This window comes from Homo sapiens, chromosome 7 (genome assembly GCF_000001405.40).
Source record: "Homo sapiens chromosome 7, GRCh38.p14 Primary Assembly".
Lineage (NCBI taxonomy): Eukaryota > Metazoa > Chordata > Mammalia > Primates > Hominidae > Homo > Homo sapiens.
The window spans coordinates 109,214,166-109,232,645 of record NC_000007.14 but is presented as its reverse complement, the minus strand read 5'-3'; the positions used below and the strand labels follow the sequence as shown (position 1 = coordinate 109,232,645).

General features: G+C 34.1%; 1 annotated feature.

The window, feature by feature from the left end:
- Positions 597–1,155: an enhancer, noted in NCBI's record as "OCT4-NANOG hESC enhancer chr7:108871548-108872106 (GRCh37/hg19 assembly coordinates)". NCBI's record gives its function as "activates a minimal SCP1, AML or CMV promoter by ChIP-STARR-seq in naive H9 embryonic stem cells {active_cell/tissue: H9 hESC(naive)}" and the evidence as "EXISTENCE:reporter gene assay evidence [ECO:0000049][PMID:30033119]".

The window sequence follows — 18,480 nt, the reverse complement described above, 5'->3', positions numbered from 1 at the left end:
GACCCTTTTTCTAATTCACAAAGCTACCATGTAGGGCAGTGGTGGCCCTGACAATTACATATTATGATTTCCAAGTAGGAGAGATTATCCTTTTGCATTGTGGAAAAAAGGATTTGAGTAGTATTAGGTAGAAACTGCAAATTCAAGTAAAACATGTCTGGTCTAGACAAAAGAGATGCAGATTTTAAATATATAAGTAGTTATAGAAATTGAACAGAGAGACAGAACTCAAGAAATATCTAGGTCGCAAATAGATAGGAATTTCAGAATTCTGTGTAGAAAAACTTTGTATATTTGAAATCATCATCAAATATCTTCCTGGCTTTATCATGAAATAGAAATAATCAAAATATTGCATGGAATATAGCAAAAGCAGAATATATAAATAGATCACAGAAATTATGTTTATGATACCAAGTAATTTCAGGCCTTTCATAGCCTTAACATTAAAATGAAATGTAATATTGTAGTCAATTTGATTATAGAATAAGGTAAAATTATGTAGCTTCTCTTATTCATATATATTTACTCGCAATATAGGCCCAGACAAAACTATTAAAAAGAAAGATTGCACTGGAAACTTGTTAAAAATGGCAAGGAAGATTTTATTCAAGACCATTGCAATTAGGGACAAAGACTATTGGAATAAAAGTTGAGCTTGAACTCAACTTCCCTGAAACAAAAAGCAGGAGGATTTTTTAAATGCTCAGGTGAGCTAATGGAAAAGTACTGAAGAATGGAGGGTGTGGATGAAGGGGTGGGGATGTTGATCAATGTGATTCAAACACCTATGTTTGCAAATTGTTATTTACGGAAACCAGGCTTTTACCTTCCAGAGGGGTTGGAAGACAAGGGCCCTACCTTTCTTGATTATGTTTCAAAGGAATGGCTCCCAGGTCCTAGAGAAAGACACTCCTGGGTTATAGAAGATTTACATCTCAAAAGAGCAGAGAAAGAATTTACAACTCCTGCCAGGAGCGGTGGCTCATGCCTGTAATCCCAGCACTTTGGGAGGCTGAGGTGAGTGGATCACAAGGTCAGGAGTTTGAGACCATCCTGGCTAACACAGGTGAAACCCCAACTCTAATAAAAATACAAAAAAAATTAGCCAGGCATGGTGGCAGGCACCTGTAGTCCCAGCTACTCGGGAGGCTGAGGCAGTAGAATGGTGCGAACCCGGGAGGTGGAGTTTGCAGTGAGCCGAGGTCATGCCACTGCACTCCAGGCTCAAAGGAAATGGAGGTAAGAGGCCTATAGTCAAAAAGAAGCCTGTCTAAAATTTAGTCAAGTTGAGGAGAACATTAAGGATGTCTTGATCAAAACTTACTCAAGAAAGAGGATAAAAGCAAAATAAGTCTGCTGGGTTGAGAATTTGGGGATGTAAATAATATAATTGCCATTTTTTCTGTTTAGCTGCATTACTAAGATAGTATAACATAAATAAAAACACATTCTTTTTTATAGTAGTGAGAAAGATTAATGCAAATAGAAGGAAAAATTATCCCTTGATTTTCAGTTTATGAATTCTGTAGTTACTAATTCATCTTGAAAGACTTCAAATATAAGTAAGCTTTGTAAATATACTGGTAGTGAGTGTGTTCAACCAGACAGACAATTTTTTCCCTGTGTCCATGAGGCAGAAACAGTTGATATAATCTTCTCTAATTATTGGAGTGGATTCTCTCAGTTTAATCACATGTGTTCCAACTCTGCTCTAAGTGAGAATAGGTGATTTGGATAGTGAGATTCTGACAGAGAAACAAACAAACTAGACAAACAAAAACACTAGGCAAAAGTATGTAGCCTTAGATGAGGAAACACTTTGTGAGTATGACAATTTGTGTAATATGCTGCTTCAAGTTAATAGCTAACTTTATAATTTGTGTGCTAAGTGAAATTGTGCAATATTAATTTTGTTCTATTTTGATTTTCTAAGATATTACAGGATGAATTGTTTCTCCCAAAGGAAAAAAAAAAAGATATGTTGGAGATCTAACTCCCAGTGTCTGACCTTATTTGGAGATAGGGTCATTACAAAGGAGATCAAGTTAAAACGAGCTCATTATTGTGGACTCTTAAGACAATATAACTGGTATCCATATAAAAAGGAAAAATTTGTACACAAAGTCAAGATACACATTACGGAAAGACAATGTGAAAAGACACAGAGAGAAGATGATCATCTTTAAGCCAAGGGTAGAGGCCTAGATTCTTCCCTCACAGCCTGTTAGAGTAGGTAACTAGGCAGACATGAGCAGGGCAGGAGAGCCCCAGGAATGTCAGGTGACCATCAGGTGATGGCCAGGCCGTTGTTCAACTGTATCTCTAAAATAATAATTGGTTGCAGCTGGTGCTAGGGAAAGGCAGTCTCCCTATGGATAGAAAACACCTGAAGCTGGTGATCACCAACTTCCTGGTGAGATCTCAGAACACATTCACTATCAGTATATTTATGAAGCTTGCTTAAATTTGAAGTCTTTCAAGATGAATTAGTAGCTGCAGAATTCATAAACTGCAAATCAAGAGATTATTTTTTTCCCTCTTGAGTGGGCTCAAGCATGTGCACTAAGAGGAAAATTGCAGAGTTTAACTGGTATATGATCTTCCCATAGGAACATTCATCTGGTAAGGGAAAAACACCTCAGATGAGCACATGTACAACTTCAGTAAACACACTGCACATGCAGCCCCTCCTAAATGCTGGCAGGCCACTATACATGCAGTCAGCCCACCCCAAGGAAAACCGGAGAGAGGAGAGGTACAAAAGCCCTGGAACCATGACAATGTATAAAAGCCCAAGTCAAAGGCCAAACAGGGCACTTGGATCACTCCAGTTGCCTGCTTGGCCCTCTTCCAACTGAAATTTACTTCCCTTCATTCCTTCTCTAAAACTTTTTAACAAACTTGCACTCTTGCTCTAAAACTTGCCTCACTCTCTCACTCTGCCTTATGCCCCTCAGATAAATTCTTTCCTTCGAGGAGTCACTGCAGACTCGCCCGTATGGATTCACCACTGCTAACAAGCCCTCAGAAGGAATCAAACCTCTTGACTCCTTGATTTTGTACTTCTGACCTCCAGAACTGTAAGATAATAAATTTCTGTTGTTTAAGCCATCCAATATGTGGTACTTTGTTATGGCAGCCCTAGAAAGCTAATAAATGGGTCTTAGAACTAAAAAGCATTTAAAAATGTTTTAGGTTGCTATCTTCTCATTAATCTGTATTTTTAAAAAAATGTTATACTCTCACTTCTATTGACCTTTGTGCCATTTTTTATGTTCACTTGGTTTGATTTATTCACATGTTTGCCCAAAGCAATTTTATTTAAATTTGTTTTCTAAAAATGAAACACTTAGGGTTCTTGGAACTTTGTATAAATAAATTTTTACTAAATCCAACTGGATTTCTTAGCCAGAATGTTACAACTTTTCTGATTGGCTCGATAAAAACTTGAGTGAGACACAAACATACCTCTAAATCTTTAGTGAACAATAAATATGCCCAGGTTCATACAATAATTAACGTATCTATTATTTTATATAAAAGGTCTAATATTAATACAATTCTCCTTTCAAATGTGAAAATTCTTGCCCTGGAAAATCATGTATGTACATTTTAAATGCTTATTATTATTCAGAACCAAAGTAAGACTAGGTCTGAAGTGTATTCAATGACTTTGCCATGAATATATACATGTATTTAATGCATATGTGTTCATATGTATGCATACACATTTGTATTTAAAACATTTCACATTTGTATTTAAAACATTTCAAAGGAAATTTTACATAATGTTTAAAATTACATGTATTACATAATATGTACATTTCGATACCACAAAAAGGTTTGGAAATTTATTGAAAAATACAGGTTTAACTTTAAAATAGCTGTCAAACCAACTACTGTAATTTTTATGATGTAATGTAATTTTTATTTCATGTTTTGCATTTGAAAGACTTGAAAGATCGACAAATTATTCCAGTTGTTACAAAAGAAAAGAAACAATTCAACCCATCAGTACTAGATTATGATAATAATCAGGTACTAAGATATTAATCAGATACTAAGAAGAAAATATAGAGGAATACATTTTTAATAAAGAAAATGCCAGGTATATAAATTGTTGAATATTCAAGGCCTCGATGTTATATTTTTTTTATAAATGATACTGCCTTCAGGTTTATCTTACTTCCCAATGTTCTTGATGGATCCCAAGATAGACGGATCCCAAGGATACTACAGGAACTTAAAATCTGATATCTTTGAATAGATGAAAACCAATCATAAATAATGCATTTTTTGCATTTAGATAAGCTGTTCTGCTTGGCTATTTTAAAGTTAAAAAAAAAAAAAGGAGCAATTCTGTGCAGGCGTTTTCAGCAACAAATCAAACACTAATTATCATTTTGCTTGTGTTATGCTATTTGTCATCAGGACTGTCCTACCTTAAAATGATATACAATAGTCTCTGTCAGTGACATATTAATTGGTTTCCTATGTGTCTCATTCTGGAATATTAAAGTGACAAGCTGGGCTAGTATTCATTATTGGACAGTGCCTCCAATGCATACTTCGTAGGAGAGGAACTCTGAAAAGCTGAGTCAAGTTCTGAATACAACTGTGACTCCCTCTTCTTCTCACCTCCCACTGGGAAGGAAACAAGGCTATGAATGATGGCAGAGCCTAAATCCTCAGAGGATGAGTAGAGGATGGACCTCTTCCTTGATGCCAGAATGCAGAGAGGGGCATGTGCCTTGCCTTGAAGCCTTAGCCATAGCTATTCCCGCTCCCTGGAATGCTCTTCCCTAGAAAGTCACTTGATTCCATTGCTCATGCCCTTCAAGTCTTCTCTAATATCTTCTCAATGAGAAGAATCTCCTAAGTATCCCATTTAATACAGCAAACTTTCTCTCCCTAAAATTTGAGGTCTTTTTTACTGTCATACTTTTCTTCTTTTGACAGCATTTACCACTTTTTGGCATACCATATTATTTAATAATTTATTATATTTATGGTTCATCACCTTTAAACCCCAATAAACTCCAAGAGCACAGAGATCTTTTTCAGTTTGCTTCCTGGTGTGTTCTATGTGCTAGGAATACTTTCTAACACAGTAGGTTTTCATAAATATTTGTTGAATGATTGAATAAATGACTAGCTACAGAGAAGAGTGCCTGCTACCCCTTGTTGGATAAACAAACAAGCAAACAGCTCCTGGTGTGGATTTTTTGAGGAGTCAGGACTCTACACCCACCTGTTGGCTATGGATTTGCAGGAAAGTTGCTCTGGTGAGCCAAGTAGCTCCCAGATTCTGCAGTGGAGCAAACTTTCTTGCTACACACGTTGGGAGACCTGTTGCTAGAGAGGGACTGGATTTTTCTGCTCATTGGATGTCAGCTCAAAAGAGGAGATGCTACTCTGCTTGTCAACAATTTGATCTTCACGATTCCTTAGAACAATTTTGTGTTCTAAGGAATCACAAAATTATGAACCAACAAATAAAAAAACACAACTTACTTAAGAGCATTCAGTGACCTAATGGAGGAAAGCCAAGTTGAAGATCTATCATGGGCCTACTGACATGAGATTAAAAAAAGGCAGAAAAGAATGTAACAAAGCAAACAAAACAAAAAGTGTTTTAAAGAATGTTACAAAACAAAACCAAGCTATTAGATTTTACACAAGCTCTTTCAGAATATAACAAAGGAAGAAAGATTTTCCCTCCAATTCTGTGGAGTCAGCATTACCTTTATATCAAAACTAGGAAAAGACATTACATGAAAACTACAGACAGATATGTCTCATGAACATGGGATAAAATTTTACAAACGAATGTTGGCATATTAAATCAAACAATATATTTAAAATATTATGCACCATTCCAAGTCAGCCTTATCTCAGGAATACAGGTTAATTTAATATTCTAAGAGCAATCAATATAATTCACTATATTTTCAGACTGGAAAAGAATCAACATAACTACCTTAATAAATGTGGAAAAGCACTTCAAAAAATCCAACATCTATTCCTGATTTTAAAATCTATCACCTATGTAGCAATAGAAGGTGATTTTTTTCAACCTAGTCAATAAGATTTATGGAAAACCAATGCTAAAATTATATTGCAAGTTGGAAGTTTGAATGCTTGCCTATGACTTCAGGAATAAGGCAAAGATTTTCTCTCACCACCTCTATTCATCTTAATAATGGAAGGTCTAGCCAGTATAAGGTGAAAACACAGAAAATAAAAGAAGAAAGAAAACATAAATATTGGAAAGGAAAAAATAAAACTGTCTTAATTCAGATAACCTGAACATACACAAAGTAAATTATAAGGAATCTATTAAAAAGCTATTAGAAATAGCAAGTGTAGGGAGGGGAAATATTCAAGGCAATTTTTATGTAAAAATTAATTTATGTCTAAATGCTAACAACAAAAATGGAAATTGAAAATTAAAAATACCATTTACTGGTTAACATAAAATATTATGTACCACTTAAAGATAATCTTATCAAAATATGTGAAAGGACTGAAAACTGTAAAATATTTTTAGGGGAGATTTAAAAAGACCAAAACAAATAGAGAGGTACAGTATGTCACTTGATTGGAAGAATAACTTAAAATGGAAATTCTCTACAAATTAATACACAGTTATTAGAATACTTTTCAAAATCATAGCAGGCTTTTCTGCAGAAATTGGCAAGCTGATTCTAAAATGTATATGGAAATGTAAACAGCCCAGAATATCCAAAATAATGTTGAGAAAAGACTGTAAGACTTAATGCTTTCCAATTTTAAAATTATTAAAAAGCTATTATAATCAAGGTATAATTTTAGCACACAAAAAAAAAACCTTACATAATACAATGGAACAGAGTTGAGAATCTAGATATAAACTCTTACATCCATGGTGAATTGAATTTGAGTAAGATGCCAAGAAAATTCAATGGGTAAAGTGTAATCTTTTCAACAAATGGTGCTGGGACAATTGGATAACCATAGACAAAAAGATGAATTCGCTTAACTCAAAATATGCAAAAATTAAATCAAAATGGATCATGGATTTAAATGTAAGAGCTAAAACTATAAAATTCTTTGAAGAAAGAAGGACAAAATCTTCATGACCTTTGTTAGGCAATGAGTTTTCATATATGACACCAAAAGTACAATCCATAAAAAAGAAAAAAACCTGATAAATTGAACTTCATTAAAACTTAAAACTTTTGCATTTCAAAAATACCATTAAGAAAATGAAAATCTAAGCCACACACTAGAAGAAAATATTTACAAATCATATATTTTCTTAATGGCTTGTATATAAAATATATAATAAACCCTTATAACTCAATATTAGGCCAAAAAATTTAACTGGACAAAAGATGTAAATGAATACATAAGCACCTAAAATATGCTCAACATCATTAGTCATTAGAGAACTAAAAAAAACCACAATAAGATATTTCTAAAAAAATTAGAACGGTTCAAATTTAGAAGAATGAAAACACCATGTTTTGACAAAAAAATGTGAGGCAACTGAAACTCTTCTTACGTTGCTGGCAGGTATGCAAACCTGTACAGCCATGGTGGATAGCAGTTTGTCAATGTCATAAAGCTCAATGTACACTTATCATATGACCCAGCTATTTCATTTCCAGGAAAACACACTTGTCCACAAAAAAGTTATGTTTGAATGATCATAGTTTTATTAATAACAGGATAAACAATCCCAACACCTTTGAACTGGTGAGTGGGTAAATGAATTGTAATATATTCATGCAATAGAATCAGTTCAAAAAGAAACTAAGCAATCAATGTAACAAACCGCTGGGAAACACAAATACATGGGTGAATCTTAAAAGCATTACGCTAAATGAAAAAGACATGGAGAAAGTACATACCGTATGATTTTGTTTATTTGAAATTCTACATAAGGCAACATTGTAATAACAAAAAGCAAGTCATTGGTTGAAAGGTTCTATGGGTAGTGGAGGAAATGAACTATAAAGAGTTACCATGTAACTATACAGAGTAATGCAAATGTCCTTATGCTTTGCAGGGTTTTCTTTTTTTCAATGTTAATGTGTGCAAATTATACCATATAAAGCTGACTTTTGCAATGTGAAAAATGCAGTGCAAATATCCCTGTATATCCAAACTCACACTACTTAAACTCATGATCTGAACTCAAGTACCAAATGGATGAGGAAGGAACACTTGTATTGACTATAAATCTTGCAGCTCACGGTTTGACACCTGACTCAGTGATGTTCCTCTCCTCCTTGTGACAGTATTCTTGGTCTTGTGGTCTCTCAAAAGACAGATCTGTCTGGAATGCATGTGCCCTGCTAAAGTTTCCTCCACAGCAGAGCAGGTGTGGCCTTTACCCAAACAGCTTCAAAGATCACTGGCAGTCTTTGCCCGCTACTCCCTTCCCTACTCCTCCAAAAATATCTCATCAGATTTTTGAAAGGAAGTTTGCAGGATCTTTTACAAGTAAAGCAATATTTTCCTTCTGGTAGCTCCTGTGAAATGTTATATGTCTCTAACTGAAACCTTTCACATTCGATATTGTGTTATTACATTTTGTTCACATTTTTCACTCTTATTAGACTGCTCCTTTTTATAAAGACCTATTTCTGCTGATTTTTTTGTGTGGCTTCACAGTGTCTTGGTCCAAGGGCATTGACCCAGTAGCATTAAGCATGCATTTTGAAGTGAAGGGGGTTTCAGCATTTTACTTTGTAAATGTATCTTCAGAAACTTCTTCCTATGATCCAATATATTAGATATGAGCACCTTTATTTAATAGCTGATATTTCTTACTGGCTAAACTTTGAGAATTTAGTGGCATTTAGAGAGTTGTTTCTGTTTGGCTTATATTAAATTTGAATTCTATTTTAAATTAGAGAGGAAAAAAGCATATGTTCAAATGTGCGCATGTGTGTCCCTTTTTTACAAATTATATTATATACCTTGCATATCTACAAGATTATCAGTTATTTGAGATTATCCATTATAAGTATCTTGTTACTATGAAAAAAGATCATTATGAGTGCATTTTGTTGATTTTTTTCCATCTTTCCCCTTCTCTCTATAGCTTCCTGTTTAGCTAAAGAATAAAGATAATTAAAAAACACACAAACTCATCTTTTCAAAACAGTATATTAAGGAATATCCTTAACTATAAAATTCATAAGCACTTATACAATATACACATAAACTTTAAAACTATTTATTTAAAGCTCTATGTGTGATGGAATCTTTTCTTTCACATAACTGCATTCTTCACTATTCCTATTTACTATTTGAAGTAATAGCTACTCAAAAATATTAATCAGGGAGAATTCAGTATATTCATTTATGTAGATAATTATATATAAAAATCAAAAAGCAATTACAATAGAAAATATAAAATGTTCTATTTAATGTTCTATTTAATCCAATTAATACTTTTAGAAAGAAAACAATAGTATATTTCTGAGTGCAAGTGTAAGTCATGTTTGAAAATAAATCATGAAAGACACCCAGAAATCATAAATAAATAGATGCCTCTTTGTGGCTCCATGAAGAGCTTATTCTAGTGTGTGTGTGTGTGTGTGTGTGTGTGTGTGTGTGTGTGTTTATTTCAAACATATATATATTTCAAGCATCTCTCAGCTTTTTAACTTTTCAGTTTATTGTAGATAAGTTTTTATTTAAGTTTTATTTAAATAAGAAGATTTTAAGGAAAAATAAACTTTAAAGACAGGAGCTTCATTTGGGCTCCCACTGAATGAAAGGAAAAATTTTATTCAAGTGCAAATGCCAAAATCTGGACTAACAACATTGATGCTTGTTCAAGTTAGCAATTTGTCACTTCAGTTATCAGAAAATGCAATGAGTTGTTTACAGTCTTGAATTTACAATTGTGACCCAGTGAGTGTGTTTGATTCCACAGATCAGAAATTAAAGTTTATATTTGACATCTTGCATTTTTTGTATCTGTTTTGCTACCATTTTTGTGCTGACCTTTCAGGTGTTCAGAATTTTCAAGGAGAAGAAACCGATGGTGCATTTAACCCTTTTACTATCTATAAATACAGTAGGAAGTTATAGTTTATAAAAATATAAAGCTTGAGTTAATTTTTTTAGACCTTAAAATATTGCCCAGAATTTCATGGACAATCATAGACACTAGCAAGCACTGTACCAAAACATAAAGTAAGCCCTTGATAATCATCTGTTAATCTCATATAAATCATCATAGAATTGGTATGCTGAACTTGCGCCCTCTAATTCGTGGAGAAATATATATATATAATTGATATTCCACAATAAAATTTCTCAGAAAAAAAGTGAGCAGAAATTACACGCTTAAAAGCATATATGTTGGCTAATTTGCTTATGATTAGCATTTACAAGTTTAATTAATAATGACCAAATAATGCTAAATTTATTCTCTAAGAAAACAGTTGTTTTCTAATCTACCTCATAATACTTACTTTGAAACTGACCCTTCACAATTTGTCCTCATCTCCAGGGAATCTCAGCTCCTATACTACAGGGTAATTAATATATATCCCAGGAGCTTAGTCTCTGTTTCACTGTGATTATTTTAAGAAGTGTCAGGGGACAGACACCTTTCTCTTAGAAAATAGAGCATGAACTACAATGAAGGTCTTTTTAAAATCATGTGCATTGTCACAGTTCAGCTGGTTTAAACTGAGAGGCAGTTGTCCAAATATCTTTGCCATAATTAATGCCTAGCAATGATTTAATTATTTATTCTGTTCTCTATTATTTGGCCTAGAGATTTTACCAAAATGCCTGAGAAAATGCTTCAAAATGGACAGAAGAAACTGGAGTAAATTCTTAACTTTATGAATTAGAGTGTTTAGGTCAGAAATAATGTAATTGAAACATCTCTATTTTTACAGCTATACTAACAGGATTCTGATACTAAGTTGCTTATCTATCTTGCTAGCTAGCTGACTACCTACCTATCTGTCCATCTAATTATCTGTTGCGGTGTAAAAATACCCCAAAAGGTAGTCGTTTAATAACGATTTGTATCAAACTGTTTTGTGGGTCATGAAATCAGGCATTTTCTAAGACAGCTATACTCATATGCCTGGTAACTTGACAGGAATGTTGGAAGGTTGAAAACAGGTGTACGTTTCTTCCCTACATAGTCTCAAAGTCTCTCGTTGGTTCTCTCCAGCAGGGTAGCTGGACCTATTGCATGGAAACCCAGAACTTCCAGAGATCAAGACAGTTCTTTTAAAGAATAGGCCCAGAATATGCAATATTATTAGTCATACTCATTATTCAACGTAGTCATTTACTAGTCTGATTCAAATGGTGGGGAAACCAACATAACCACTCATTGGAATGAGTGTCAAATAATTTTTGCCATTTTTAATATGCCATAGTTCTCACTCTGTTCATAAATTATTCAATTTTCTCATGCAACTCCTTAACTCCTCACAGGATCCCCCAAAGTCTTATCTTATTTTAAAATTGACTTGATATCCAGTGTCTCGTTATCTAAATTAGGTCAGATGTGGATGAGACTCCCTGAATAAGATTCCTGTTAATGCAAAATTTTTGAATTAAAGACATAAGTTATATTCCCCATCCCCAACACACACACATAAAATACAATAAAAAGGGGGGCATAAGAAAACTGTGATAAACATGCATTTTCAAAAAGAAGGGAAGAGGAAGCATATAACAATCAATAGGCTATAGAAATTCTGAAATCCATTCATACAATATTCCTAATTCATTAGTTAGAACCCAGTCCTGCTCCCTGTGACAGATTCTCTGCAATCTTGGCTTCATTATCTGGGCTCTATATTCTGCCTTCTGAATCATCTTCCCTCTTACATTGAAAAAAAAAGATGGCCAATGTCAATACCTGAATAGCCCTATCAGTCAGCTTCCTGCTCACTGAAAGTTGGAAACTCCAACTTCTTCTGAACTACTGCTCTCCCTTTTGATCTAAGCTAGTGGTGCTTCTGCCAATGCAATTGTTTAAAAAACAAACAAACGAACAGAAACTCTGTGGCTTTACTCTGAGCTTTATTGGTGTTCATTTCATTAGGAAAAAAAGTCTTACAACTATATTTTTCTGAGATAGGCTTTGGTTGGGTTGTCTGCAATGTAGCTGTAGAAAACTCCCGAGATTCTGAAAGCACCAATCTATTATGCAGCGAAGAGGGTCTGAAGTCTTAGCAAAGTTTGTTACAGCCTTACATCTATTCCCTGATATCATGTTTCATGGCTCTGGATTTCATCTTTCACCTGAGACTATTTCTTCTTTTGATAACTCTTTGCTGGCTAGAAAGACTGTTCTGAATACATTGTATTTCTCCAAATTTAACTTGAAAACTTAACAGTTCCTTCTTTAGTACATATATCAGAGGCCACCAGAACTAAGTTGGCTCTTTACAAATTCTGCATAGAAATCATCTTAGATCATTAAGCCACTAGGTGTTATTTCCCATCGTTCATATTACTATAGGTAACAGCATTGCTAAACCTTCCACCACTGTATAACAAGGATAACCTTTAATCTGGCCATCAAATACCCTTTCCTCACTGTCCCTCAGGGCCCCATCTACTTCTAAGCTTTCACTGTCAGTCTACTTGAGGTCCTCCAAGCATCTACCTACTGCCTGGTCCACACGCTTTAGGTTTTTGTTACAGCAGCATCCCACTTCCAGGTAATAAATTCAGTTCCAGCTATCTATTGCTGCATTTACAAACTACTAAACACATACTGGCTTCAAACAAAAACTATACTTTTATATCTCATGATTTTACGGGCAAGAAAAAGCCAGTCTGAACAGAAGTAGCTCCATAAACACCATTTCTGTTGAATAAATTTCTGTTGTGACTAGGAATTACAACCCATTTAAGTGGTCATGTTCAAACAATGTGAAATATATTCTTTAAGAAAAAAGCCATTAGTAAACAGCAGTCCAAGCTGCCAAGTTGGCTAGGCAATTTGGCTTTATATGCCATCCTTAGGGATTACTCAGAGGTATTTAGCTGATGTTCGAGCTGGGGTAGAGGGGTCCAACACAGCTTCAATTACATGCCTGCACCTTTACAGAGATAGTTAGAAAGCTGGGCTCAAATTGGCCCTTCTCCCTCTCCCTGTAGTCTCAGGGGATCTCTATGTCTTCTCTCTGGCTAGGTAGCTGAACTTCTTATATAGTAGCTAGCTTAGGACTTCCGGAGACCAAGGTGAAGCTTGTCAGTCCTCTTAAAGACTAGGGTAGTAACTGGGAGGGCGTCATTTCTGCCATATTTCACTGGACAAATCAGTCAAAGGCCAGCCCAGAACCAGGGGTGGAGAAGGAACTCCACTTCTGAGTAAAAGGGATGTCAAAGAATTTGTGATAAATGTTAATCCACCAGAAACAACATGCCCAAAATTACTCTGTGAGTTAGTGTATGGTCATATGGTCAGATTTGGAATGAGGTCTCCTGAACCCCAATCCTTCTCTGTAAATGTTTATATTATCCTTGGATATATATTACTTTCACCTATCACCTCTTTATTTTCTTCTTAAGATAAATTTCTTTTATAGTAATTTAATTAAATTTTTTATCATAATTTAAATGACTGTTACTCTTTCACAATCTCATATGAACAAATTATCTGAGAAATATTTCATGTCAGGATCTGGAGATACAAAGTTGAACAAAACAGAGTGTGACCTGCAAGTCATTCAGCATTTTTAAACACACAGTATCCTTTGTCTACATTAAAAAATTTATAAAATATTTCAGTGAAATAATATATACGGTATATAAATATCATGAGGTCCATGTTCTCAGCAGTCACTTAAGGAATAATTCAGTTAGATAGGAAGAATAAGTTTTAGTTATCTATTTCACAGAATATTGGCTATAATAAATAATGATGCATTGTTTATTTCAAAGCTGCTTAAAGAGTATATTTTGGGTGTTTTCATCACCAAAAAAAAGGTAAGTATGTGAGGTGATAGAATTGTTAATTAGCCTGATTTAGTCATTCCACATTGTAAACATATATCAAAACATCACATTGTACCCCAGAACTATATAAAAATTATTGTCAATTAAAATAAAATTCAAAAAAGAAATAAGATATTACCTATACATTTAGTCTTCTGTGTGCCTCCTTTTGATGTTAATAACCTTCTTTATATGTGTATATATATACATACACATATATATAAAAGTAGATAGAATATTTTCTGTTTTCTATTCAGCACTATTCTATATGTTATATTTAAATCTTGGCCAAGGTTTTTTTAATTTAGATATTCTAATACTACTGCTAGGCATTTGTGTATTCTGCAATTAACTTCCCCTGGACTGTGGACCTTGGGTATTACCATTTTACTTATTTTAAGTATTGTCTTTTGGAAATCAGACATTCCCCATTGTAACATTTTGCTCTAATTATGTTTTCTTTTTTGTAAATTTTTAATTGACAAATTAAGTTTTTTAATTGACAAATTAAGTTTTTAATTGACAATAAAATTATATAGATATATGGTATACAACATGATGTTTTGAAATATGTATACATTGTGGCTGATTAGATTTTCATCCCCTCTAGAATTGGTTTTGTGGCATGGTAAGAGGTAAATATATTTTTTATTTGTTTCATGTGGGTAACTAATTTCATCATCATTATCTGTGTATAAATCAATTATTTCCCTCATTGATCTATAGTGCTGTATCTAACATAAAGCACGGCTTAATATGTGTACAATTTTTTTTATTTTGCCTGTTCTCTTCCATTAGTACACTTATCTATCTTTCTAAACAAATAGCATAAGTTATTTTTGACATCTGAGTGGAAAATACCCACCAACATATTCTTTTTCTTAAATTTTTTCAATAATTCTTGGCCCTTTCAATTACCTTACAATTGGTATAAACAACTTGCAAATTCCATAAAAATTAAGACAGAATTTTGATTTCTACTCATTAAATTAATATATAAATTAGGATGGTATTATTCTATATGTATCATTAAGACTTTCCAGCCATGGACATGAAATATTTCTGTACTTAACTCTTTAATGCTTTTCAGTAAAATTTTATAACTTATCCTAAACATCATACACACTTTCTTTATATTTATTACTGAATGCTTTATAGTTTTCATTGTTTTTATATCATCTTGTTTTGTTGTGTATAGGAATAGACTTATGATCTTATATATAGCTATCTTGCTGAATGCACTTATCAATTTCAAATATTTTTCTCTTGAATTTTCAAAGTATACAAACACATTGAGTGAGCATATTGACAATTTTGTTTCTTACTTTCCAAATCTTAATAGCTTTTATTATTTTTATTATATTATATCACTGGTTAGGAATTTGAGCATAATGTTGAATAAAAATGGCTACAGCAGGCATCCTTGTCATTTCTCTGATTTAAAAGAAAACACTTATTTCATCAAGTTTGCTGAGATTTTAGGAGACATTTTTTCCCAGTATTTGCTGAGATTTTTTGTAATTATGAATAAATGCTGAATTATGTAAAAGTATTTTCCACATATGAAAAGATGAACATATTGCTTTCTCATTTAATGATACTTTGTGTATTACATTAATAATTTTCAAATATTAAATAATTCTTGAAATACTAGAATATGACTATCTCAATCATAAAGTGTTTCCTTTTGAGACATTATTAGATTTGGTTACATAGTATAATTTAAAGTTATTTGTACATGTACTAGTAAGTGAAATTGCCCTGTAGTTAATTTCTATTTGAAAGCAGCACAGTTTAATGCTTTAAAGCATGGATTCTAGAGTCAGGTTGTTTGCATTCAAGTTCATTCACTACCAATTACTGTCATTGTTATCTCAGAAAAATTACTAAAATTTTCCGTTCCTTCAACTTCTTATACGCAAAATGGGAACAGGAGGAGTACCTACTTCAATTGGTTGTTAGAAGGATTAAATGAGTCAGTAAGTGTTTAGAATAATGCCTAGCACATAACGAATACTACACAGGTTTTGTAAACACAAATAACAAGGTGCACTTTCATGTTTTCAGTATCTAATGTATATCAAACTCCTAAAAGAAGATGGATATAATTAATGTGTTTTTTTCCTTAAGGGATTTTTAATAAAATGTCAATAATCTATTCCTGGAATATTTGACATTGAGTCTAGTTTTGCTTTTAAGTTTTTTGTTTGTTCATTTGGAGAAGCATGTATGAATTAGTTTTAAGTTATTTCTTGAAGGTCTATTCAAGTTTTCTATTTTTTTCATGCACAATTGTTAATAATAACAGATAATGCAGGCAAAGTTTCCCACTTGGGAGCTTCCATTTTTGTGATAAGGAGACAGAAACAGATGCCAAGAATAAATAATTCAAAAAACAAGAGAGAGAGTAATAGAGTCATAGTTTTAATTAATATCAAGTGCTGAGGGAAGTCCTCTTTCATTAGAGGATGTATTCATTTCCTAGGGATGTTGTAACAGAGTTCTACAAACTAGGTAGCTCAAACAAGAGAAAAGTATTGTCTCACAGTTCTGGACCTTGGAAATCCAAGATGAAGGTGTCAGCAGGGTTGTTACCTTCTAAGGACTGTGAAAGAAGGATCTGTTTCAGGAATCTATCCTTAACTTGCAGATGGCTGTCTTTCTATTCATTTGGCATTTCCCCTGAATGTTTGTCTTCCAAGCCTCCCCTTTCTATGTAAGGACACCAGTTACATTGGATTAGGGCCCACCCTAATGATTTCATTGGAACATAACTACATCTGCAACAACCCAATTTCCAAATAAGATCAAATGCTTAGATACGGGGGGTTAAGACTTCAACATATGAATGGGGGTGTGCATAGTTCAACCTAAAACAGATGCTAATTGAGCAGAGATCTGAAGAAGAGAAAGATAATCATAAGAATTACTGAGGAAGAGTGTTCCAGGCAAAAGGACTAGTCAAAAGTTATGAGGTAGGAACTTGCCTGGCGTTTCCCAAGAACAGCATATGTCAGTGTGCATGGTACAGAAGTGAAGGAGGGGAAGCCTGGAAAGAAATGGGATCAGAAAAGCAGCAGGGGATCAGATCTGGAGGAGCCTGGGCAAGGTGCCTAGAAGACCATGGTTAAGGTCTGGGAGTTTATTCTGTATGAGATAGGAAAACACTGAGTTTCGAGCAGATGAGTGGCACCATCTGTCTTTGTTGAGAATAAATAAACGAATCAAGTTCAAAGAAACTTGTATGCAGCAACAACAGTGATCTAGAGGAGAGATTATGGTGCTAAGAGTAGAATGGTATTGGGAGAGATTGTGAGAACTGGCTTTATATCAAATGTATTCTGAAGGTAGATTCCACATATTTTGCTAACAAGAATTAGATTGAAGTACTACTAATCAGTGACTGTTTAATTTACCAGGCTGTAATTTGCCAGAACACAAGGGTAATGTAAATTTGAACTTTAAACTTGCAGTGTGTCAGGGATGTGGTTAGATTTTCTGAGAGGAGTCACACACACCAAAAAAAAACAAAAACAAACAAACAAACAACAAACAAACAAAACCTCCTGGCGCCCAAGCTGAATTAGATCACTTCCAGTTTTGTTTTGTTTTGTTTTTCTTTTGATAGGTTGGCAGATTTTTTTTTTCTAGTCCTATTTTACTAAAGATGTGAAGACTGGAGCTTTAAGGATACAATTCTCTATGCTGGGAAAGCCCAAGGAGTCCTAATTGCACCCACACCTAATCCATTCCACTTCCATGTTTACCTAGAGGCTGCTATAAGATCTCAGTCTCTAAGTCAAAGAGATAACAAATATTGAGGGAATCATGCTCCCAAGTTAGCGTATCACTGCAGCTCACTCTTGGTATTTGTTGCCAACAGATTTTTCATTCACTTACTGAAATTAAGCCTACAATTTAAAAGAATGTTCAATTGTATCCAGCATCCCTGAAAGTTTGGAAGTGGGCAGTTTCTCTGGATATATATTCTAGTAAAGAAACAGAAACATGTACATAATGTTTATGATATAAGGTAAAATGGCATGCATCATCTGAATTCACAATACAACTCAATCAGCTAGAAATTATTGAGGCTAAGTGAAACTCTTGATTATTTTCCGTACAAAACTGCATATTCATCTTGGTAGCATGTACATATTACCATTTCTCAGCAGCTATACTTACAATTCTTTTTTTTTTTTTTTTGAGACAGAGTCTCACTCTGTCACGCAGGCTGGAGTGCAGTGGCGCAATCTCAGCTCACTGCAAGCTTCGCCTCCTGGTTTCACACCATTCTCCTGCTTGACTCAGCCTCCCTAGGAGCTAGGACTACAGGTGCCCGCCACCACGCCTGGCTAATTTTTTTTCTATTTTTTAGTAGAGACAGGGTTTCACCGTGTAGGATGGTCTCAATCTCCTGAGCTCATGATCTGCCTGCCTCGGCCTCCCAAAGTGCTGGGATTACAGGCATGAGCCACTGTGCCCGACCTA